The 26,269-nt window shown below is 48.3% G+C and overlaps 1 annotated feature.

Annotated features, from left to right (window-relative positions):
* Window positions 22,565–23,064: an enhancer, noted in NCBI's record as "H3K4me1 hESC enhancer chr2:28662749-28663248 (GRCh37/hg19 assembly coordinates)". NCBI's record gives its function as "activates a minimal SCP1, AML or CMV promoter by ChIP-STARR-seq in naive H9 embryonic stem cells {active_cell/tissue: H9 hESC(naive)}" and the evidence as "EXISTENCE:reporter gene assay evidence [ECO:0000049][PMID:30033119]".

Here is a 26,269-nt window from a genome sequence, read left to right on the forward strand (position 1 = left end):
TCTGATGGTTGGTTTATTCTGTCTTCCCATCTCTCCTTTTTCTTCTCTTTTTCTTCTATTCCTCTCTACCTTTGGCCCTCATGGGTAAAGTTGGTTTTTCTGCTGGTGGGGTGGCAGGGGGGCTGGGGGAGCTGGGAACTTCCTTCTGCTTGCTTAGAACCTCTTTCTGCAAAGCTGTGAGGTGGGCTTCTGGGAGGGCATCGGGGCATGTCTACCGCCCCGTCTCATTCTTCTTTTCCCTTTTGACCCCTTCCCAATCCCTCCTGATCCTGTTTCCTTCTCAGGGCCTAATTCTCAGCCAGCTGCCAACTCTTGCCAAGCTGTGAGCCAATAAAAGTATAAGGTGCTATCCCTTCCTTGGGGTATTTTGTTTGAACAGGTTGACTCTGGAAACCCAGAAATCTTCAAAGAACCAATTAAATGTATGGCTAAGGTTGTCAGGGTGGTTGGATGAGATCACGAGCAGGAAAGGGCTCAGAAAACCGTGCAAATATGTTGGGTGATCACATCTCTAGACTTCTGTTTTTGAAAAGTCACAGGCTGTTAGGTGTTGAGCACTTAAAAGTGTCATCTCAGGCCCCCATTATCCTGTAGACCAGGAATCCCAGGGTGATTGGGGAACATCTGCTCTGGGGTACTCTTTCCTTGTAGTGCGAATGATAGGGACGAAACCCTGTCATGAGTTAAGGCCCATGGTGGCTGGCAGCTGGCTGAGACTTAGCCCTAGAAATTATACCACTTGCTCCAATATGCTTTATTATTTTATTTTATTTTGAGATAAGATTTCATTCTATCACCCAGGGTGGCATGCAGTGGCACAGCCATGGCTCACTGCAGCCTTGACCTCTCCGGCTCAGGTGATCCTCCCACCTCAGCCTTCCAAGTAACTGGGACTACAGGCATCTGCCACCATGCCTGGCTAATTTTTGTATTTTTTGTCGAGATAGGGTTTCACCATGTTGCCCAGGCGCTTCTTGAACTCCTGGACTCAAGCAGTCCTCCTGCCTCAGTCTCTCAAAGTGCTGGGATCACAGGCATCAGCCACCATGCCTGGCCTCCCACATGCTTTAGACAAGCTCAGTGTATAGGCCTCATTCTCTGGAGACACCAAGAGCACTGAGCTGGGAGTCACAGGGACCCTAAATCCTAGGCCTGCCCCCAATACTCACTGGCTATTGAGGTTTGGAGAGAGCCATTTAACCTCTCTGACCCTTAGTTTCCTCATCAGTAAAGGAGCAGGGTCATGATAATATTATATTATATATGTAAAATATATAAGTAAACAGGAGGGATAACAATATGCCTTCCTTTTCCTTTTTTATTTTATATATAATATATAATATAGAAGAGTACCTACTTAAGAAGAATAACAATATGCCTTCCTTTTCCTTTTTTTTTTTTTTTTTTTTTTGAGATGGAGTTTCACTCTGTTGCCCAGGCTGGAGTGCTGTGGCATGATCTTGGCTCACTGCAACCTCTGCCACTTGGGTTCAACTGATTCTCCTGCCTCAGCCTCCCAAGTAGCTGGGATTACAGATGTGCACCACTACACCTGGGTAACTTTTGTAATTTTAGTAGAGACGGGGTTTCCCCATGTTGGCCAGGCTGGTCTCGAACTCCTGACCTGAAGTGATCCACCCGACTCAGCCTCCCAAAGTGCTGGGTTTACAGGCGTGAGCCACCGCACATGGCCTCGTTTTCCTTTTATGTGAGCCAGGGGCATTAGGGAACAGGGCCACTCAGAGTCGTAGCATTGGGCCTTGTAATGACCTCTTCTGCCTGAGTAGACAAGGAACCAGAAGGAATCTGGAGGGTTTCAGTGCTACCTGTACTTTCTTGAGTAACTGGTATGTTTCCTTGTGGTATAAATGCCAAGGAGGCAGATGCTCGGGAGGTCCACATCCAGCTTCTCTGAGCTTTGGGGATTATGTTGTCAAGAGAGACACATGTGCTCATGCTTTGATGCTTGGCTGTCATGCCTAGGCCCTTCCATAACATTGTTCATCTTCAAAATCCACTGTTTATTTAAATTCCCACCTCTTCACCTATAGGGCAATTAGAGAGGTTGATGGCTGCCAGGGGCTTATTAGATGGAGTCAGAAGCTTCTCTGAGCAGCTGTAAATGCTTTCAAAGCATCCAGACAGTTTTTCAGTTTCTTATGGAGAAAAAAAGTAAGGGGCGACCTCTACTGGGTTCTCAACCTAAGACGGTCTGTTGGGGGAATGTTGCAGTCACCTGTCATTCTAGGCTGCCTCGGCCCAAACCAGTTCAGTGACCTGGGGTAATGGTTAACTCTTGATGACATTTCCAACAAATTTGCAGTTTTGAGGATTAAGCACAATCTGCTTCCCCAGGAAAGCTGTCTTGGTGAGGGATCCCTGGGACCATCCCCTTTTGCTGGACCTAGAGTTCCCCAAGTGAACACAACCCAGTCTCCAGGCTTTCTGTGTTCATTAGGCCTGCCACTATGTAAGGGAAAAGGAATTTCTCCTGGAGCTGATATTTTCCAACATGTTGAGCAACGAGACCATGTATGTGTGAGGGCATATGAAAAGAGGTGACGGGCTCAAGTCAGAGGGAAACTTAAGTAGTTGAAATCATAGACCTTTGTGACAGTGTTGATGGAGGCAACTTGATTAAGGTGAAGCCACTGGGCTCTGGGCTCCAGTGCCATGTTTGAAATGAAGAGTGCGATTTTCCTTTTGGCCTGTGTGTTTAAAGGGTGAATGGGATACTTGTACATGGGTAGCTCAGCCCCTGCTGGCCACAGGGCCCTGCCAGGCCCTCACACAGGTCTGATGGCCTTCAGGGCCAACTGTGTACCTGGTCTAGGATGCTGTTCTTACACCTGATGAGACAACTAAAGGACTGTTTCCTGAGACACTGTGAGCTGTTAGGACAAGTCCATCCAGTCTTCTTTGTTTTTTTTGTTTTTTCGGGTTTTTTTTTTTGAGACAGAGTTTTGCTCTTGTTGCCTAGGCTAGCGTGCCGTGGTGTGATCTTGGCTTATTGCAACCTCTGCCTCCCGGGTTCAAGCTATTCTCCTGCCTCAGCCTCCCAAGTAGCTGGGATTACAGGCGCCCACCACCACGCCCAGCTAATTTTTTGTATTTTTAGTAGAGACGGAGTTTCGTCATGTTGTCCAGGCTGGTCTCGAACTCCTGACCTCAGGTGATCCACTCGTCTCGGCCTCCCAAAATGCTGGGATTATAGGCGTGAGCCATTGCACCCAACCCATCCAGTCTTTGCAGTCAGCTTCTGCCTTTGCCAAACCTTCCTGGAGTGGAGAGGGGACTATACCCCATGACTGCCCATTGGGCAGATCCTCCTCCTCCTCGTCCATTAGGCCCCTCATGAGTAGAGGCCACAGTGAAGTGCATCCGTAGTCTATCCATAGCCTGTGAGTTGTTGTCCCTGGAAAGTTCCACTCACTTGAAGAAAAAAAATAGAACCTTCTTCAGGCTCCACCTCTGGAAGTGGGAAGTCCTTAACCAAACTAAACACCTTCACAAGTCCTTCTGTAAGCCCAAGGGGAAAACAAACCAAAACACAAACACTCCGCAGTGGCCTGGACTGCAGTGGCATTCGGCTGAATGTCTCTGAGGGCACTGTGAGGACAGGGCCCTGGTTAGACACGGGGGACCCCCCTTCTTTCTCCAAAGGCAAAGTACAGGCTGCTGTGGGGCCTTCAGATCTGCTGCTATTTCAGAGCATAACGCTGCCTTGTCCCTCAGGACCTTTGGAAACTATTCAGTATTATATAGGTGACATATCTTTGTTTTGTGGTGGAATTCATATAGAAGAAAATGAACCATTTTAGAGTGAACAATTCAGTGGCATTTATTACCTTCACGATGTTGTATAATACAACTACCACCTCTGTCTAGTTGCAAAATATTTTCATCACCCAGAAAGAAAACCCCAAACCCATTAAGCTACTACTCCCCAGTCCTCCCTCCCCAACCCCTGACAACCACCAATCTGCTTTCTGTCTCTATGGATTTATATTTAGGTAGTATTTCTGAGAATCCCAGTGACTCTATTTTCTGAACTAAAAAAGAATCATGAAACATTAGCACAGAAAATAAACTAATAGAGACTAGTGGTACTGTTTCCCCTTTATTTCCATACTTCGTAACCTTTTCATGTGCCTTTATATAAATGGTCTCATTCAGTAACCCAAGAGACAAATGTTGCTGGATGTGTTGGAAAATCTCAACTCCATTAGAAATTCTCTCTTTTTTTTTTTCTTTTTATTTTATTTATTTTTGAGATGGAGTCTCGCTCTATTGTTTGGGTAGAGTGCAGCGGCACAATCTTGGCTCACTGCAACCTCTGCCTCCCGGGTTCATGTGATTCTTCTGCCTCAGCCTCCCAAGTAGCTGGGACTACAGGCATGCACCACCAAGCCCAGCTAATTTTTGTATTTTTAGTAAAGATGGGGTTTCACCATGTTGGCCAGGCTGGTCTCGAACTCCTGATCTGTAGTGATCCACCTGCCTCGGCCTCCCAAAGTGCTGGGATTACAGGGGTTAGCTACTGCACCCGGCCAGAAATTCCTTTTTTCTTACACAGTGGTGTGTCTGTTCCACTGGCAAGTACAGTTACTACCTTGATCCAGTGCAAATGGCATGCATTTGTTTCTCAAAGATGGAATAAATCTGAAAAGACAGACTACATTCACTGATAAAAACAGACACCTTGTGTTTTAAACATAAGAGAACCGCATTTAAAAAAATTAGTGTGCAGTTGGAGACTGTCACCATTATATTCTTACAGGGATGAGGGAGAAAATATTCATTAAAAAATATTTTTGTGTTCCTACTAAGTGCATGACACCGCCAAAGGCACTCTTGGGACACAGTTCTATAAGACACTGTTGATGCCAGTGTTAGAAATGAGGTGTCTCTTTATTTCACAGCCAAATGTTTTCACTGGAAATAGCAATGAACTAAAAACTAGAAGCTGCCCTCAAGGAGGTTGCAATCTGGTTGGAGTGGAAGGAGAAGGAGCACAGACATTTTGGCCTGTGGCAGGTGGGGGGATTTCAGAGACAATTCCATGGAGGAGAGGATCCTAAATTGGAGCCTGAAAGTGGGATGGCTATGGGTAAGATGGAGTGGAGCCGGGCACGGTGGCTCACACCTGTAATCCCAGCACTTCAGGAGGCCCAAGGCAGGTGGATCACTTGAGGCCAGGAGTTCAAGACCAGCCTGGGTAACACGACAAGACCTCGTCTCTATAAAAACTTAAAAAATTAGCTGGGCATGGTTGCATACACCTGTGATCCCAGCTACTCAGGAGGCTGAGGTGGGAGGACCGCTTGAGCCCAGGAGGTGGAGGCTGCAGTGAATTGTGATAATGCCACTGCATTCCAGCCTGGACAGCAAAGTGAGACCCTGCCTCAAAAAAAAAAAAAAAAAAAAAAATGGATAAAGAAGAGAGCAAGCGTGCCTGGCCAAGGGAACAATCTAACACAAGGGGAAGAGAACATGGGTTGGCTTTGGGGGCTGTGCAGGAGGCCTGGATGTCCTGAGCATGGGCTGATTGGGGATGTTGGAAATTTAAGCTGCCAACCTAAGGCAGGCTTGAACCTTTCTATAGTCAGTCTATCAACGCCTTTTATTGAGTGCCTATTTGTGCTAGGCACTGTTCTCGGCTCCAGGAAGACAGAGGGGACAAGGAAGCCTTAGGGCCCCCACCCCCACCCCAGGCCATTGTCCTGGCTACTGGCCATTGTAGAATAAGTAATTACAGGTTCACGAGTGTCTCACAGAGATGTATAAGGCACCATGGGGGCAGGTACCAAGGGGACTTTCCCTAGTCTGGGGGATGGTTAGAAAGGGCTTTCCAGAATCAGTGGCATTTAAACAGACCCCAAAAGTAAGAAGAAATGAGAGATTTATTTCTAGGTATTGGAAGCTGCAAATGGGGCAGCTGCATGGCGGAGGGGTGACACAGCCGCAGTCCCACTCTAGAGAGGTTATTGCTGCAGGTGTGCAGGAAAGGTGGGCGGGGGGAGGAAGGAGGCCCCGCAAGAGTCCGCACTAGCAGTGATGTCAGAAGGACGTTCCTGGGGAAGCCGAGTCTGAGAGGTCTGGTTCCAGGAATAAAAACTGGGAGGCAAGAGGAGGAGCTGGGTCGGGGGCAGGAGGCCCAGGTCCTGAGTTCGGTTTTAGGCATTTAATGCCAGGAGCTGGAGGACGTGCAGATGGGTGCCACCATCACGTCATGTTTCCACCCTGCCCTGGTCCTGAGCCCTCTGTGTTTTCCCGGCCAGTGTTCTCTTGTTCCCCAGAGGGGCTCCCCTCTTCTCAGGCCCCCCAGCCCCCTCACTTTCTACAGACGATGTCACCTTCCACCTCACAGAAAATGGAGGCCATCAGAGGGCATCTCCTCCATCTCCCATCGCTGCCATCTGTCTCCCACCTTCCCTCCTTCTCCTGATTTGACAGAGAAGGGCCCCTCCTGCCCCCAAGCCCCTTCCTTTGCCCAGCTCTGGGTACCCACCGTGCTCCTTCTTCTCAGGGACCCTCTTCCACCAGCTTCCTCCTATTCTTATTTTGTGGTTGACGTCAGTCTTTTCAAGGGCCCTTTCCCATCAGCATTAAATGTGATCAAGTATCATCCATCTTAAACATGACAAAAACCGACCTTGGCCCCACTCGCATTTCAGCTTCACAGCTGAGAGTCTTGTGAAGTTATGTTTACTTACTGCATCCACTTCCTCACTGCCACTCTTCTGTCAGCCCGCTGAAGTCTGGCTTCCCCTCTCTGCCCTGAGCCTCTGTACTTCCTTGTGACAAAATCTTACACAGACACATCTCAGCCCTTATCATCTTTGATTACTGCCCAGCATTTGGCACTGCTAACCACTTTTTCTGTGAAATGCCTTTTTCTGTTTTTAACTTTCCTCTCCCTGTCCTTGACTCTCATCTCTTGCTCAGTCCTCATATCAATGCAGACACCCCCAAGTCCTGTCTGCTCCCCGTGTGAATGTTCTATCCTGCCCCACTGCCTCCATCCTAGTATAAGCCCCTCTCATCTCTCATCCAGACAACCACAGTCATCTCCAGTCCCCACTTTGCAGCCAAAACAAACTGATATGAGTGTTCACAGCCTGCTATTTCCTGCTGCTGCTGCAGGTTCTGGGTCCCTAAAACCAAACTGATTACTTCAGGCTCCTACTCCAAGCCTATTGGAGAGGTACTTCCGTTAGGATTCCATGCAGCCGCCTGTGCCTGAAAACCCAAATCAACAGAACCTTGAACATACAAGGTTTTCTTCTCTTATCTGAAAGTCTGGAGCCAGAGGTTGGGGGAAAAATTTGCTCTCTGGGAATAATTATTTTGTTCATTGTCTGTGTCTCTGGGCTCTTCCTTCTGGGAGGTTCTTCCTGGTTCACTAACCTCCATGGCCACCCTCGATATGGGCATTGGTGAGTGGGCTCCCCGGGTATTCACAGCCTACTTCTTGCTGCGGCAGGTTCTGGGGCCCCTGGATTGTTTTAGGATTTAACTGTTAAGGTTATGACAGACCATACTCACTGCTTTTTAAAAAAAATTTTATACATTTTCTTTAAAAGCTTGGTAGGTTTTCAATCTATTTGCTTCTAGTCAGTTTCTTAAGCAAAAACCACAGCTAAAGATCTAGCGTAGACATCATTTTCACACCACATGGGAACCCAGGGTGGCTTGAGAAGGTTAAGTTCAAACCCTCTCTGTGACTAACCACACCAAACCACCAAGTTTACTTTGATGTGAAGACCTCTGGATAGATATTCAAGGAAATCTCTTCCCAGGGACCTAAAAGGACCACCTGTTCCTCTCTCTTCTAAGGCATCTTCACCCTCTGGGACTTCCAATGGAAGATAGAAGATTAGGACGCATATCTGACTTCCTTCCCACCTGCTTTCTCTCTGGCCTCCTCCTTGCCATCCTTTGGACTAAAGGTCAGGGGTTTCTCTTCTATTCTTTTCTTTAGGTAAAGCCCCATGATTAATTCTGTCAGGGCTTCTTGATATCTTAAAGAGGGAGCTAAAGACAACAGAACATCTTTTTTCTTTTAAAAATAATGTCTTTTGAGACTATTGTCTGGCTGAAAAATCTTATTTTGGAGGTCAGAAGCTATTCATTATCTTCCTCTCCATTTTTTTCTTTGATAATCCTAGTCCCTTTCCCCAAGGAAGCAGATGTTTGAGCTGAGCAGGAAGAAGGTCACATGCACAGAAATGCAAAAGAGAAATGCAATTAATCCTATTTTTCAAAATAGGGTCCTGTTTACATCATCAAGGACTTCCTATTTTGCTTAGGGTAAGTCCAAAATGTGTAATAGGGTCGTTCTGGTCTGAGCCCTACTTATCGCCCCAGCCTCATCCGATCAGTCTCCCAGCCTCACACTCTTCACCGCAACTACCCTGGACTTCTCTCACTTCCTTCACCACAGGTTGCTCAGGACGTTCCCAAAAGCTTCAGTGTTGGCCAACTCCTGTTCATCTCCCAAGTTTTGATTTCAAAGTCCCTCCTGGTCTTGAGAAGGATTTTCTTGACTCATAGCATCCCTCAGAGCACCTTGCATCCTTATGATTAATTCATTAATTTTTTTATGGTTATTTTTGATTAAACACCTCTGTTTTCCAGTAGAACACCAATAGCAGGAGTGCAAGAATGACGTTCTGTCTGCTGGGAGCCTCGTTAGGTCATCATTATCCCTAGCCTGGATTAGACAGATGTGTTTCTAAAACGTACATCTGCGCAAAACCCTTCAGTGGTCCCTCTTTTTACTCAGGTCGCTCTTTTTACTCAGTCAAACTCCTTTATGTCGCTTCCAAGGCCCTGCATGATCTGGCCCCAACTTCTTCTGTCCTTACCCCCCATCTTCTTCAACCTTCATCTAGACCGAAATACCACTCAGTGTAATAAAAGGGCTGACCCTCTTGCCTACAAGTCTCCAGATATGCTCTACCCATTTTTTCTGGTAGAGACAACTCCTATTAATTCTTCAGCTCTTGGCTGATAGATTGCCTGCTTGATTCATTAACTTGTTCACTCATCCCCGTTCTAGTTGCCAGGAACTACCCTGAGTGCTGAGGAACAGTGAACAAGACAGACCCGGCCTGCCCTCCCCCGCCCCGCATCTGTCTCCTCCGTGTTGTCTTCCCTCACCAGCCTCACCTCCAGGCTGAATTAGTTGTCTCTCCTCTGGGTCCCCTGGCTCTCTGTAAAACTGCTAGTGTTGCCTTATCACAGTTTTAATGACACTTAACCTGTCTCTCCCCGCTGCTAGCCTATGGGCTATTTGTTGAATGCATCTATGACTCCTCAAAGTACTCTGCTAAGGGTAATTAAAAGGAATAGGATGTTATGAATTAGATGAAAAATAAAAATCAAACACTATTGGAATTAACTGTTTTTTTCCTTCAAAGCAACTGATGACATTGATATGAAATTGGAAATATTTAACCGTTTGCAAATTCTTTTTATGCTAATAGAGCCAACATTTCAACAGCTATTACTTCACTTTTTATTTGTGTAATGAGAAAATTTAGAATTAAAAATGTACAAAATTGAAAAAAAAAAAAAGGAATAGGAGGCTGAGTATGGTGGCTCATGCCTGTGATCCCAGCACATTGGGAGGCAGAGGCAGGAGGATCACTTGAGGCCAAGAATTCGAGACCAGCCTGGGCAACATGGCGAAACTCAGTCTCTACAAAAAACAAGTTTTAAAAATTAGTTGGCCGTAGTGGTGCATGCTGTAGTCCCAGCTACTCAGGAGGCTGAGGTGGGAGTGTCACTTGAGCCTGGGAGGTTGAGGCTGCAGTGAGCTACGGTCACGTCACTGCACTCCAGCCTGGGCAACAGAGTGAGTCCCTTTTTCAAAAAATAAAAAAGAGAAATAGGAAATAGCATAGAATGGAGGAGCTGAGCCACAGGTGCTGCTGGTGGGCGCACAGGGCAAGGTGGACAAGGGACGGGGAGGGAGACAAAGGCAGAAGAGGTCCCTTCTCCTCCTCCTTCCTCAGGGAGTAATGGAAAATAACTTGGACCCAGACACAAAAGGCCACATGTTGTATGATTCCATTTATTCCATTACCAGACTGGGTAAACCCAAAGAGACAGAACACAGATTGGTGGCTGTCCGGGGCTAGGAAGAGGGCGAAAAGCGACACTGGCTGCTTAACAGGGATGGGGTTTCTCTTTGGAGTGATGAGAGTGTTGGAACTAGATAAAAGTGGTAGCTGCACAGCGTCGTGAATGTGCTAAATGCCACTGAATTGTTCACTTTAAAATGGTCAATTTCGTTGTTTTTTATTTATTTTGTGGAGATGGGCTTTCTCCATGTTGGCCAGGCTGGTCTCGAACTCCTGGCCTCATGTCATTCACCCACCTTGGTCTCCCAAAGTGCTGGGATTACAGGCATGAGCCACCATGCCTGGCCTAAAATGGTTAATTTTTATGTTATGTGAATTTCGCATCAAAAAGAGACAAAGAAAGAGCTTGGATCTGGAGAGAGGGGAGCGCCATGGGGGCCTTTTCCTCTCCTAGTCCCTGATGACGTTCCAGTGACTCCTCAGATTCTGGGGCTGGCCGGGTCTCTTCTGACTAGAAAGAGGGCCTTGCAGAGCCACCCGGGTCCTCTCTTGGCACAGGTAAGCTTGGACAACTGGACATTGGCCCCTGCGCATGCCAGGGCACTGCAAGAGCATCGCAAGCTTCTCAGACACAGGACCTGGATGGATGACAGTCTTTCCTTCATGGAGCAGAAGAAGGATGCCTCAGGAAGCTTCTGCACCAAGAATGAGGCCTCAAAAGCAAGGGTCAGGAAATGTGGGAGTGTTTGTAAGGGCATGGGATTGGCTTGTCTAGCTGAGGGGACAGTGTGGTCAAACAGAAACTACCCAGAGTATGGAACCAGAAGTGCTGCTCTACCAACTAATAGTTGTGTAATCTTAAGCAAGTCACTTTCATCTGTGATTTAAAATAAAAGTCTCGGCCGGGTGCAGTGGCTCACACCTGTAATCCCAGCATTTTGGGAGGCCAAGGCTGCCAGATCGTTGAGCTCAGGAGTTTGAGAGCAGCCTGGGCAACATGGCAAAAACCCATCTCTACAAAAAATACAAAAAATAGCAGAGCATGGTGGTGTGTGCCTGTAGTCCCAGCTACTTGGGGGACAGAGGCAGGAGGATCACTTGGGCCCAGGAGATTGAGGCCGCAGTGAGCCATGTTTGGGCCACTGCACCCCAGTCTGGATGACAAAGCAAAATCCTGTCTCAAAAAATAAAATAAAATAAAGTTTCATTCATTGCCAGTGGGAATGCAAAACAGAACAAATACTTTGGAAGACAGTTTGGTGGTTTTTCACAAAATTAAACATATTGTTACCAGGCGACTCAGCAATTATGCTCCTTGGTATTTACCCAAAGGAACTGAAAATGTACATCCACACAGAAACCTGCACACCAATTTTATAGCAGCTTTATTCACAATTGCTAAAACTTAGACGCTACAAGGATGACCCTCAGTAGATGCTGAATAAATAAACTGGGGTATATCCAGACAATGGAATACTATTCAGTATTCAGTGCTACAAAAAAAAAAAAATATGAGCCATGAAACCACAAAAAGACATGGAAAAAACTTAACTGCATGTCTGTAAGTGAGGGAATCCTAGTGTAAACTGTGGAATCCAGGTGATAATGATAAGTCAGTGCAGGTTCATTGATGGAAAGAAATGCACCACTCTGGTTGGAGCTGTTGACAGTGGAGGACCCTATGCACGTGTGTGGGCAGGGAGTATCTGGGATCACTCTGTACTTTCTGCTTAATTTTGCTGTGAACCTAAAACCACTCTAAAAAATAAAGGCTATTTTTAAAAGTTGGTTTGAGACCAGCCTGGGCAATATGGTGGGACCCCATCTTTATAAAAAAATTTAAAAAGTTAGCCAGGTATGCTGATGTGCCACTTGTAATACTAGCTACTCGGGAGGCTGAGGCAGGAGGATCACTTGAGCCTGAGAGATCAAGGCTGCTGTGAACTGGGATTTGGCACCACTGCACCCAGCCTGGGCAACAGAGTACGACCCTGTCTCAAAAAAAAAAAAAAAAAAAAAAAAATCGGACCTGAAAAAGAGAAAATAAAAGCTGTTGGTTTTGAGTGCTTACTCTGCAGCAGTGCAAAGCATTGCACACCCACTCTGTTTTTAGTCCCCACAATTACCTCCAGGTTATACATGAGAAAAAAACAGGCTCCGACAAATGGGTGACTTGTCCAAGGCTACCCATCTGGTCATCGAGGAGCCACAGAGGACTCTGCAGTGCCTGCTGTTGGTCACCTTTCTGCCTCGGTTGACCACCAAAATGATGAAAATAGTAATATCCCCTGCTGGTTGGCTGTGAGCATTAAATGAGCCTTGGACAAAAAGGCCCTTTGTAGAGGTTTTCATAGGAGTTATTGTTTTATTAAATGGATGATTAGGAAGTTGCTGTGTGAAGAATGTATGGACTAAGCTTTTGCAAAGGAGGGCTCAGTTTAAACTCAAGCCAGCATGCTATTGCTGAGATGTGAGAAATAGATGACAATCAGTAGCCCTTCTTAGACAAGTCAAAAGACCTCTGGAGCCTGCAAGAGCAAGCAACAGTGTGGGTTGTGGAGGCCACAGGGCTCCTACTGCTCCATGTCATGCAGGGCCTGATGGTGGACTAGGGCCATCTCTGCCTATCCCCTGTGCACAAAGCTGAGAGCCCAAGCCCTCAAGCAGCGGTGAGGTGGAGTGCAAAGGAACCTAGGCAACCTCTCTCAATTTTTCATGCTGAGGATGGAGCACATAACTGGCCCAGAGGGATCCCAGCTGGGAGTTTTAGCAGGTGCTTTGGAACTGGCCATTCCAGGGTTTAAAGTCCTTATTTGTTGAGTGACCTTGAACACGTTACTTAACCTCCTTGAACTTTCATTTTCTCATCTGCAAAATGAGGATAATAATATCTATTTCATAGGGTTGTCATAAGGATTACATGAGATAATGTGCTAAAGTCACTCAAATATAGTAAGTGCTGCAGGGTGGTTAATGCTATCATTATGTAGTCGTTGTCCTTATTATAACAAGAGGAAGGGTAAACCCAGAGAGTTGAAGCAATTTGTCCAAGGCCACACAGTAGCTAGCTGCAGGCCTGGGCTTCCTCCGGGGTCACGATTTCCACCCCTTCCTAAGTCGGGGCTTTTCTGAGAATCCTTAACAGGTCAGATGAACTGATAGTCTGCACCTCACGCCCTAAGTGCTGCCTCTCTACACCTTTTGACAATGGCATTAGAACACCACAGGCTGCCACTGCTTCCAGCTCAGCCACTAATGCACCACTTGCCAGGCAAACTGTGGAGGTTTTGTTGAGCTGCTCTGCACTGATCCCCTGCCCTCTTCCTGGGAGAGGGTCCTTCCTGTGGGAGGTAGCTGTGCTCCCGAGTGGGTCAGCATACCTGTCCATCTCCATGAGCCATTGGAGGATTCTGAAGGCCCTGGCATGCTGGTCCTGCAGCCAGAATCAGTATCCAGATCCATCCCCTACAACCTGCCTCTCCAGAGTGGAACCAAACCCATCAGTATTTCTGACTTTGTGACGCCTACTTCCACCTTCTCAGCAGGGCTTCCTGGCACACAGATGTTTTCACAATGGCCCCTGAGATAATGAAAGACACCTCGGCATTGTGACACAGAGCTAAGGAGCTCTGGCCCATATGAGGCTGTCTCTGATGCCCAACCCTGGGCATTTGGTGACCAGCAGGTGTGCTCGGCTCAGCCCTGGGAGGATCTCCCTGTTTAGTGTCTCTGCTACTCTGGAACCCCACCTCCTCCTGTCCTCTCCTCTCACACCAGGGGCCGTGCTTCTGGCATTTCAGAGCCCCCAGCCTCATAACCACCACCCCAGAGCCAGCACTCCTTTCCTCCCTGGGCAGTAGGCCACACATGGGCCCTGGGAGCAGGTGTAAGAGGGTGACTGGTTGAGAGTGGCACTGGGTAGTGTGGAAACCCTGAAGGGGCCCTTGCCTGCCAGGCGCAGCTGGGAGATCCCTGAAGGGGCCACAAGGAATTGCCACTAGCACCGAAGCAGCCTCACCATGCGCCAGCTGTTCTATGCACTTAACACACAGCAGCCTATGTAGTAGACACTATCATTACCCTCACTTTAGAGATGGGAAAATCGAGGAAGGGGCTAAATAGCTGGTCCAAGGGCACACAGCTTGAGACTGACAGAACAGAGATCTGAGCCCATCATGGGAGCCAGCATGCCATTGGCACCCTGCAGATGGTACCCCCTAATCCAATCCCGCTCACCCCACCATCTCTCTCTGCCACAGACAGATCTGTTATATCTGCAGCTGCATCCTCAAGACATGTGCTGTCTCTCCAAGTCAGGACAAGCTCATGAGGTGGATGGCCACTGGTTGAAGTCCCTCAGCCTGCTTTCCCCACCAGCGGGCCCAGCACCCCCACCTAACCCACGCCTGGCCCTGGCTTGGATACCATACCCTTCAAGGATTTTATGCAGAGCACCTTGCTGCCAGGATGACCTGGGCCAGGTCTGTGGCCACTTGCCTGGGGCACCTCTTGGAGATCACTTGTCGACCCTTAGGCACCAGGTCCAGGGTCAGGGTCCCTGGGAAGCTCCCTTGGCCCCAAGTCCTATTAGGCTGCCTAAGTCTTTTCTGGAACTTAGACCTGCCTTGGGGCAGAACTGGTGGATGGGGCCATAAGAAGCCCAGAAGTGTCTGGGGATAGCGTGGGGAGGGTGTTCCTCCAGCTCTGGCCCTACCCCTCCCAGCCTGCATCTGCTGCTCTAACGGTAGACCCTGCCCCAAGCCCCTGCCTCCTTTTCTCATGCTTCTCATCCATTCCGGACCCTCTCTCCTCCCATAAATCATACAGCCAAGGTTCATTTATACCCAGTGAGGAAATGCCTACAAAACCGCTCAGCTTGGGGCCTGGCAGCCTGCGGCTCCAGGTAGGAGCTTCCCTTCCCTTTGCCTTTATCTCTCCACGTGGCTGGCCATGGTCAAGTGGCAGATTCCTACCTCCAGCCTCTACTCCACATCACCTACACTGCCAGATAAAGGGCAGACTCCTTTTGAGCCGTGGTCATCTGCAATACTTTTCTCCCTTCCCTCTACCTGGAGAACTCCTTCTTCTCCGGAAGAACTCAGCAGAAGTGTCACTTCCTCCAAAGCCTTCCAGGGTGCCCCAGGCAGTGGGCGGCTCCTGCCCCAGTGGCCACAGTGCTCTGCCCACACTGCCTAGAATACTTACGGAGAGCTTTTGGTACTGGCGATTTATTTGATGACTCTAGCCGGGGCCCCACAAAGATGAGTACATGTGTCTTCTTTTTTTCTTTGGATTACTTACCAAAAATTTTTAAAAATCGTAAAAATAATTAATGAACAAGACGCATGTTATAAAAAATGTTTTTAAATGCACAGTGTGAAGCCCCAGAAAATGCCATGGTTAATAGTTTTGTCAGTTTCATTCTGTCTGTATTTATTTTCTCTGTAGAAATTTATTTGATTTTTTTTACATAAACAAGATCGATCTATATGCATTTGTCCTACAGCTTGCTTTTCTCACTTTATAATACATTGTGTGTGTGACAGAGTAATGCTTCCCCAAATATGTACACATCCTAATCCCCCAAATCTTTGAATATGTTATCCTAAATGACAAAAGTACCCTCGCAGATGTCACTGAATTAAGGCTCTTAAGATGGGAAAGTTACCCTGATAATCAGGGAGGGTCTGATATAATCCTGTGGATCCTTAGAGAGGCAGGAGGGCCAGAGAAAAATTTGAAGATGCTATACTGTTGACTTTGAAGACGGAGGAAGCGCCCATAAGCCAAGGAATGCAGGCAGCCTCTGGAAGCTGAAAAAGGCAAGAAATGGACTCTCCCCTGGAGCCTCCAGAAGAAATGCAGCACTGCAGATACCTTTATTTTAGCCCAAGGAGACTCTTGACTTATGTAAACAGCACACATTTATGGTTCTAGGATCTCCTAGAACCATAAGGTAATAAACTTGTGTTTAAGCTGGTACAGCTGTGGTAACTTGTTATAGCAGCAATCAGAAACTAATACAGTGTGAGTATACAATGGAGGGAAAGAATGTTGATGGTGGTAGTAGTTAGCATTTATTGCGTATTGTATGCCAGATACTGTTCTAGTGCTTTATGTGGTGTATTAATCTACTAAGGCTGCCACAACAAAACACCATAGACCAGAGGCTTAAACAACAGAAATGTATCCGTGCAGAGTGCTGGAGGCTGGAAGTCCAAGATCAAGGTGCTGTCAGGGTTGGTTGATCCTGGGGCCCCACTCCTTGGCTTGCAGATGGCAGCTTTCTTGCTGCCTCTTCCCATAGTTGTCCCTCCGTTTGTGGGCACCCTAATGTCTCTTCCTCTCCTTTTATAAGGACACAGTTAGGATGTATTAGGGCCCACCCTAATACAGTTTAACATATTCACCTTGCTTAGGTCCTGTCTCTAAATACTATCACATTCTGAAGTACTGGGGGTTAAGATTTCAATACATGAATTTGGAGCAGGAGCGTCCACAATTCAGCCCACAACATGTGGATTACATCATTCAGTGTCCACAATAACCCACTAAAATAGAATAGATAAGAAAAGTGAAGCACAGAGTGTTTGAGTTAGTTGCTGAAATTTATACAGCAAGTAAGTGGTCACGCCAAGTCTGGGAATTGCCTGTTCATATCCTTTGCCCACTTTTCTATGAGGTAGTTTTCTGTTCTTTTTGGTTTGCAGGTGCATGAGTCAGCATTTATTGAAGGAAGGAATGAGTGGGAACAGTTAGTACTAGTCCTAGAAGAACATGGGAGAGGCTGGGCCGAGGCTGGAGTTCGGTCATGCTCCCCCTGCAACCCCGACTGGCAGTGAATGCCTCCAGAGGAAAACTGAAAACCAAGTGGGAGGTGGGGGCGTGCAGAGGGCTGGGGAAAGGGAAGGTGTCACTCTCTATTCACCAACCGAGCACAGCCCTGGGAGGCTTTCTGGAGGTAGGGGATGTTCTGGTCCATTTTCTCACCCTCAGGAAACTGTGGCCAACTTTAGTAGCTTGGGGTGTCCAAGCCACAAAAAGCTCTCAGTTCTGAGAAGTATGCACAGAGCGCTGTTGCCACGGGGGCAGGAGCCTCACTGCCTGGGGGATCCTAGAAAGCTTGGGGTGTCCCTATTACATTGCTGGGATGCTACTATCAAATCCCTGCACCTGAAATTCCAGGTTCCAGATTCGGGTACTCAGATGTCCCAAGAGAACTCCTCCCAGCATGAAAGATCTGTCCAGTCCAGCTGCAAAGGAGAGATGGCCAGTGACCTGCCAACTGTCTCCTGGATGCAGGTGGCCGGCCAGAACACATGGCCAAGACAGGGCTTGCCTCCACCCACCTCACAACTCATTTTGTTTACTGTGATGAAGAGGACAGCTGCCGATGGGGCCCAGGCAGGTCTCTGGCTGGCCGCCCAAATCAATGGGAATGTCCAAATTGTTTTTCAGGGAGAGCAGAGAGTGAAGGCTTCAAAGCGCTCAGCCCTCAGAGTGTGGAGCTCCAGAAGTTCCTTCCTGTGTCAGCCTTTTGGCTTGCTGTGGCCCAAGGACTAACACACACATGTACACACACACACACACACACACACACACACACACACACACACACACACCCTGCTTCTTGACTCCTTCTCCCAACTCCATTCCAGTCGTTAACAGCAGAAGGTAGAGACACTCTGACAACTCCATCCTGATTAAACATGCCCCATAGAAGGGCATCAGGAGTCTGAATAGAAGCTGAAATAGTTCCTGTTTCAGATCATGGGCTCTTGGCAAATAAGTGGCACCCCTGGCATAAAGAAGTGTGAATATCTTTCACCCCATTCTTCCCACTCAACTATCCAGTGGTTGAATTTCCTCTATAACATTCCTAGGACAGAATGGTTACCCAGGCTTTGCTTGAACTCCCCCAGTGATGGGGAGCTTACCACCTTCCAAAGTAACATACCTGGCAATTCTTGAGGCAGGAGGGTTCGTTCTTACCCTGGTCCTTCCTTATGCCATCCCATCTGTTTCCTGCTTGGTCGCCACAGGTGACCGTATTTGAAGACAGCTAACAGCTCTGTTTCTTTATGAGGAAACAGTGCGGGGTTTAGCAGGAGGATATAAATTCAGTCATTTCACACTTTAGGGAAGGTTTTCCCTGAGTTTCTGACCCACTACAGAGAGGCCATCCTTCTCTGTGGGCCCACATGTGGGCCCAGGACAACAGTGGAATGGATCTCTGGGCCCTTTTGACTGTAGACCACATAGCCTCGCTAGCTGGGAGGGACTCAGCCCACTGTCTGGGTGCTGGTGGAGCTTTTCTGGGTCCCTAGGGCCTGGAGAGAGGGACTCCATGCTCTGAAGAGAATGCTGTACTTGGAATCTGACCTCCAGACTAGCAGGCCTGTTTCTTTCTACTTCCCAGTTGGGATCTTGTAAGCAAGCTGCTGAAACTCCCTGAGCTTTAGTTTTCTCATCTATGAAATGGAGAAATATCTATTGTCTTTTTATGAGGATCGGATGACATCACTTATGGGAAAATACCTTATAAACCAAAACACAGTCTACAAATGATTAACCAGTCTAAATGGTAAGTGAAGGAGCTTGTGGAGTTTGGAGCTTGGAATTTCTTTGTCCCAAGTCTTGCTGGTGGGTGAATGTCTGGAGCAGAGTTGGTTTTAGGAGGACTTTGGATTCTTCTTCAAGCCTTGTGGATGTTTCCTGGTACCCCGGGGTTCCCCAGTGCAGGGCTCAGACCTGTTCATCCTGCGTGACCCCTGGCCCACATAAGGCCTCTCTGTGAGGGGACTCTAGGTCCAAACCCACAAGATCAAGTTTGGGGTGGAGGTCAGGCAGGTGGAGCCAGACGGGGCCTTCTGTTCTCCTCCCCTCTCAGGTGCCCCAGGGCTGCCAGCCCAGATCTGCACCTGCACAACCTCTGTTCATTGCGGCCCGCCATCACTCCCTGCCCAGCCTTTAATTTAGACAGAGGTGAATTCTAATCCCCTAATTAGAATGGACTTTAATGAGAGGAGCAATGGAGGGATCGGGAGTCGGGGAACCCAGACTAATGACAGTGGAGGAACTCTGAAGTGAGAGGATCTCTTTTAATCCAACCCCCTCATTGAACAGATGAGGCCCCAGGAGTGGGCAGAGGCCGGGCTAGCTGGTTCCCCTGGAGTCTCCTGTCTGAGCCAGGGCTCTCCCCTGCAGCCTGCTGCTTCTCGTGGTCTCTCTGTGCAGACTCCTAGCCTTCAAGCCTGCGGTCGTGGCTCTAGCCTGGCTCTCTGGATGGGCCGAGTCCCGTGACCGGGTGGGGATGGCCGCAGCCCTCGCCCTCCTGGAATCACAGGAGCAGGAAGGGCAGGAGCCTCCATAAATAGCAGCGTGTTGCCACCTGCCCAACCCCAATCCGGTTCATCCTGACTTAGCAGAAGCACTCGTGAGATGTCCTCCCAGGCAGGGATGGGCCAGGCAGCCTGTGCTTCCTCATGCCACACGGTGCCCCGAGGGTGGGAGTGCTGCAAACAAAGGGCATCCTGCCAAAGGGCCTTGGAGCGGGCAGGTAGTGCGGCAGCCCCTGAGGAGGAAGGAGAGCGAGGTCTGGATTTTCTGGGGGTGGGTGGTGTGAGCTAAGGTGGGGGGCAGGCAGCTTGTTTCAGGCAGGGCACAGGCCCACCCCGAGGTGGCAGCGTGGATCCCAGGGTGGGGGTGGGGGGAGGCGGGCAGCCGCACAGGCCGGCAGGGTCCTCTGCCCAGGTGTGGGGAAGGTGCTGGGCTATGCCTGGCAGCCTCCTCTCTCTCCATCTCCAACTGCCCTGTCCTCTCTGCCTGGGCTCCCAGCTATAAAGCAGGAACAAGCCTCATCCCTTACCTGCCTGAGGGGACATTGAGCAGGAGTGAGATAATGTCTGCTGCAGCTCAGCCTTCCACTGAACGAGGCAGTCTCTAGACGGAGTCTAATTTTACTGCCTAGAGCTCAGCCAGCTCCCTCTGGGGGCCCCTTGCTGCTCCCTGGCCCCTTCTGCAGGATCCACAGGCCCAACCTTGGCTTGGCTGTGGGAGGATCCCGAGGGCCAGCGCCCAGCTCTTGGGCCCGAGGCCTGGGCCTAGATTCATTCTTTCATAGCCCATTGTTCAGGGTTCAAGGAGCCGCCCACCCACCCGCCCCTGGCATTCTGGTTAAACCAGGAGTCTGGGCGGCCAGGCGTGGCCTGGGCCTAATGAGCAGGGTGTGCCCGGAGGAGTTGTTAGGAGCAGGGCGACAGCTGTGGGCAGGTTCCTACCCACCACGTGGGCGGGTGGCTTGCACAACAGCCCCCTGCGCGTTGGCGTGCTGCACGGCATTCTTGCCATGTGTTTATTTTTTAAAAACAAATGCTCAACGTTGGTGGGAGTGGTGAAGATATTTCTAAATGTTTCAAAGACATTGTGTTAACATGTTTTAAACCCCGAAGTCTATTGTCTTAGGAAAGTTGGTGCAAGTCTGTAGGATTTCCACCAGTCACAAAGAAGGCAGAATGCCAAAATCATAACAGGTAACCCCTTCCCCATGATTTTCAAAAGGAGGAATCTTCCAGAGTCACTTGGGGATTATGGGCAGGTGGCCCCACCAGGGCCGTCCTCCATGCCTGGTCTGTGGAGGAGGAGCTCCCTGCTCTCAGGGCAAACACAAGTGCATCCCAGCCGCTGGTTTCCTCTCCTGGGCTTGTTGACAGGAGGGTGGAATTCCAGGCCTGCTTGGTTTTCATGCATGGGGCTGTTAACTAGGATCCCTGGCAGCTCGAGGAGTTTTGGACCAAATCAATCCTCCAAGTAATGACCAGGCGAACTCAAGGCACTGTCTGTGTGTCACTGTGTATCTGGGACAGCCTTTGCTGTATTTGAGAGAAGCCGGTCTCCTGCCTTGCAGCAGAGCGTAGTTTGGTTGGTAGTTGGGGGTGGGTCATCCTGTTGTTGAAGTACCTCTTTGTGCCCCTGGAGACTTGCATTCTGGGTCCTGCTGTTAGTTGGGAGGTTTCCAGCTTAGAAACATTGTGGTCATCAGACGCCTTAATGGGAAAGCTGTAGCGAGGACAAGGGCAGGTGGGCCTAAGAAGAAGAGAGGTTGGAAGGATGTATCCTCGCATTCCAGATGGATGCCGCACAGGTCTAACAGCACAGAGGGAGAATCTGGAAACACCAGACTGCAGAGTTGGGTGGGACCCAGCATGGAGGGTGTTCCTCTAGTATCTCTGTCCAATATCATAATCGCCCAGGCCGCAGTGAGAGCATGGGCTAAAATTCACGCAGTCATTTCCTTCATGAGATAGCTTTGCAGATCACTGTGGTTGACTCGTGGGATACAGAAAGGTCAAGCCATTCTTGAAAGATCTCTTGTCAACACAACATCCCATCTAGCTCGAGTTCAGATCTCTTATGTGAGCCCCTGACGCTGCGGACCTGCCCCCCCGGCCATCACTCATCCAGCCTTCACAGGGCAGCAGGTGGCCACCATCTCCTCGGCTGAAAATGCCCTTGGAATGAAATGTACACCTCTTCAGTGCCCCCAACCCCTCCCTCCCTCACCGCTCCCATCTAAGCCACTCACTGTGCTCCGGACAAAATGGCCTCCTGCAGGCTGTTGCACATGATATGCTAAGCCTTCCCTTCCGTCTGCCTCTGCAATACACTGTCATTGCTATTCTTATCCCTATTTTTCCTATTTATTTCAGAAAAATTAAAATCCTACCTTCCCTGTTCTGGAAAGCATTCTTGCACCATGCCCTTCAAGACTGACTCAGTGGAGGGGGCTGCTGGAAGGAGCTGGAAGTTATATTGTTAGGGAGGGGACAGCCATGAGTTGGGAGGTCAGAATAGAAAATCTAAAAGTATTTTCAGTCTTGCAAGTAAGACAACTATCTATTGTGACGAAAAGAGTGACGTCACTTAGTGTGAGACCTTGGGCAAGTTCACCCCGCTTTCTGAGCCTCAAATTCCCCATCTCCAAATTGGGAACCATGAATCCCACCTCTCAGGGGCTTGTGAGGACCCACGGATGTGACCCTCATGAAAGTCTGGACCTGACACGAGGGAGATACATCATGAGCATCAGCCCTCCTTCCCCATCCCACAGGCCAGGAGCATCTGTCAGTGCCCCAGTGCTGACTCTCCAGGGCACTCTTCGGACTGAGGAGGAGGCAGAGGGCCTCATCAGCGGGGGCAGGGGGACCAGGAGGACTGGATGTTAACAAATTGCCCAGCACCAGTGGCCGTCATGTTTGTTTCTTAATTAGGCCGAGTTAATGAATGTCGTGGCTCGTGATTCACTGCTTTGGAGGATATATCCCTTTCTGTTTGCCTTCCTCTCACCTGGGCCTGACAGCTGCCACCCCCACGCCACCACCCTCCACACTCCTCTGCCACACAGCAGGCCTTGGAGTCAGCCCACCTGCCGGAGGGGGTGGCCATACTCAGTCTTGGGCCCCCAGCCCTGCTCCATCAGGGTTCCTGGACTGGCAGAGCCAGAGGGGACAATGGAGAGCCCCCATCAGTGCTGAGGAACTCAGCGTAGAACGCCCTGAGCTAGGCCCTCCCCTGAGCCCCGCTTTACTTTCACAGGTGGCAGGGCGGGCAACGGCCGCACGGGTGTTAGCAACAGAGTCCAGGCCAGCGGGCTGAGGCCCTGGACAGGTGTCGGGAGCCAGACTCATGACGCTTCCCCCACCTGCCCCCTTCCCTCTGCCCGCTACAGACAACACACGCCTGAAGCAGGGCTGAGCCCTGGGCGCAGTGGATAAGGCCTCTCCTTTTCGTCCATACAAACCTCTAGGGGACTTGCCATGCTTGTGGGGAGCCAGGTTGTCAGAAAATGGGCTCATGGGTGAGGTCTCCTGAAACTTCTAGCTTCTCCTGGGAGACCAGGGAGGGCAGAGATTTTAAAGTTTAAAAGGGTCCACATGTTCCTCAGTCTGAGAACCAGGCAGTCCTACGGAGAGGCCAGGGCTCAGCACTCACTCACTTCTTCAATGCCACCTTCCATACCCACTGTTTAAGAAGTCACCACCTTGGGCCTGAGCTGGGGGTGCTGTAGAGTGGAGCAGGGGCAAGCTGAGGGGGACAGAGGTCTAGCGGCAATTCTGGTGGAGAGTAAGCTCAACCTCTGGACAACCCAAAGACATTTCCTCCATGTGCCTTCCTCCAATGCCACTTTTTATTTTCTGAATTGTCTGCAAGGAGAGTGAGATGTTGGGCACTGCAGCCAGAAAGACCTTGTCCTCTGCCTGGGACAGAGGGAAGGACGGGCCAGAACCAACATCCTTGTCAGGGAGACTCAGGGCAACTGGGACCGAAGAGCTTCAGGGTTCAGCGTCCCCACCGGCTGGCCCCTCCACCAAGCAGGTTTGCAGGAAGACAGCATGACGCAGGAGGAACACAGTCACCTTAAAAGGCACCTGTTGACTCCCTAAGGTGCCTGGGCTCAGGGTGTGGGGTGGGGATGGGGGAGGGAAAAAGTGAAAAAGATCCAATATGGAGACACAAGAAACCAGGCTCTTTGGGAAGAAATTCATCAGGAAGTAGTTCTGGAACGTCTTTCTCCCAGTAAGCAGCACAAGCCATGCAGGCATTTGGAGGGGAGAACTTCTGCCCTCCAAACCCATGATGGTGCCATATGGAAAGTGATGATGCCACTGGAAGGCACCAATTGCCACTGGACAGGACACTGTGGTGTCTTGAGAGCAAGAGCACCAGCCTGTTTTTTATTTTATTTTATTTATTTTATTTTATTCTGGTTAACTATATAAAAGATTTATCTTGCCTCTTTTATTTTAATAAACTAGATAAATATTGTATTAAGAAATCAAGTTGTTGGCTGGGTGCAGTGGCTCACACCTGTAATCCCAACACTTTGGGAGGCGAAGGTAGGCAGATCACCTGAGGTCAGGAGTTCGAGACCAGCCTGGCCAACATGGTGAAACCCTGTCTCTACTAAAAGTACAAAAATTAGCTGGATGTGGTGGTGCACACTTGTAATCCCAGCTACTCGGGAGGCTGAGGCAGGCGAATCGCTTGAACCCAGGAGGTGGAGGTTGCAGTGAGCCGAGATCGTACCACTGCACTCTAGCCTGGGCGACAGAGGGAAACTCCGTCTCAAAAAAAAAAAAAAAAAAAAAAAAAGAAATCAAGTTGTTTGTGTTTAAATACTCACGAGTAAGGTTTGTTAGGTTTTATGTGCTAGCATTTTTTAAAATTTTTTATTTTTAAAATGTAATAAAATACACATAACATAAAATGTACTATCTCTTCCATCTTAAGAGTACAGTTCAGTCACATTAAGTATATTCACATTGTATGCAACCAATCGCTTTTTCATCTTAGGAAACTGAAACTCTGTACCCATTAAACAAAAACTCCCCATTTTCCCCTCTCTTCTGCCCCTGGCAACTGTTTTTGTGTGTGTGTGTTTTATTTGTTTTTTTGTTTGTTTGTTTGTTTTTGAGGTGTACTCTAGAGACACTGAGATGCGTCGATCTTAAGTGTAAAACTCACTGAGTTTTGACAGACGTGTACACCCATGCAACCACAATTCCAATCAAGATATAGCATATTTGCTTCACTCCACTAGGTTGCCTTTTTACCTTCTTCATCAATCTCCAACCCCACCCTGAGGCAACCAACGTTCTGATTTCTATCATCACAGATCCTTTTTGGAATCATCTCATATGCACTCTTTTGTGTTGGCTTCTTTCTTCCACACAGTGTTGACATTTGTCCATGTTGCATTGTTTGTTCATTTTTATTGTTCAGTAGTGTTCCATTGTATGAAGAAACCACAATGTATTTATCTACTTATCTACCTGTTCATGGTCATGTGGGTAATTTCCAATTTTTGCTAATAAAGGAATAAAACTGCTATGGATATTTTTGGACAAGTTGTTTTTTGGGTGAAAATCTGTTTTTATTTCTCTTGGGGCAATACTTGGTTGTGGAATTGGTGAATCATAGGGTTGGTGTATGTTTAACTTTCTAAGAATCTGCCAAACTGTTTTCCAAAATGGTTGTACCATTTTGTGCCCTCACCAGTGTGTGTTACAGTTGCTTCACGTCCTCACCAGCATTTGCTATTGTTGGTCATTTTCAGCTTAGCCATTCGAGTGGGTGTGAAATGTTACTGCTGTGGTTTTAATTTGCATCTCCTGATTAAGCACAATGAGGCTGAGCAATTTTCATTTGTTTACTGGCCCTTTGTAATGTTCTTTTGTGACGTGTCTGTTCATGTCCTTTGCTCCCTTTTATTTATTAGGCTTTAAAAAATCATTTTATTCTTGATTTGTGAGTATTTATATATTCTAGATACCAGAACTTTGTCAGATATATGTTTTGTGTGAATATTTTTTTCACAGACTGACTTGCCTATTTTCTTAAAAACGTCTTTCCAAGAAAAAGAAAACAAAAATGGCCAGGTGTGGTGGCTCACACCTGTAATCCCAATACTTTGGGAGGCTGAGGTGGGAAGATGGCTTGAGGCCAGGAGTTAGTTCCAGGCCAGCATGAGAAACACAGGGAGACCCTATCTCTACAAAAAAAAAAAAAAAAAAAATCAAATAAAAACCAACAAAAGAGTTTAAAACAACAAAAAATTGATAATGTCCAATCTACAAATTATTTCATTTTTTAATAGTTTGTGATTGTTTTTCTTTGTGTGTGATCTGTTTAAGAAAACTTTGCCTACCCAAAAGTCATGAAAATTCTCTCTTCTGTTCTTTTTTAGAAGCTTTATAGTTTTAGATTTTTTGTTTAGGTCTATAATCCATCTATTTTTTTTTTTTTTTTTTTTTTTTAGACAGGGTCTGGCTGGCTCTGTTACCCAGGCTGGAGTGCAATGGCGCATTCTGGGCTCACTGCAATCTCTACCTCCTGGGCTCAAGCCATCCTCCCACCTCAGCCTCCCAAGTAGCTGGGACTACAGGTGCATGCCACCAGGCCCAGCTAATTTTTTGTATTTTTTGTAGAGACAGGGTCTCGCCATGTTGGCCAGGCTGGTCTGAACTCCTGATCTCAAGCGGTCCGCCTGCCTTGGCCTCCCCAAATGCTGGGATTACAGGCATGAGCCACTGTGCCTGGTGCAAAATAATTTTTGAGTATGATGTGAGGTAAGGGTCAATGCTCATTTTTTAATATCCAGATGTTCTAGCATCATTTAA

Source organism: Homo sapiens, chromosome 2 (assembly GCF_000001405.40).
Source record: "Homo sapiens chromosome 2, GRCh38.p14 Primary Assembly".
NCBI classification, from domain to species: Eukaryota; Metazoa; Chordata; class Mammalia; order Primates; family Hominidae; genus Homo; species Homo sapiens.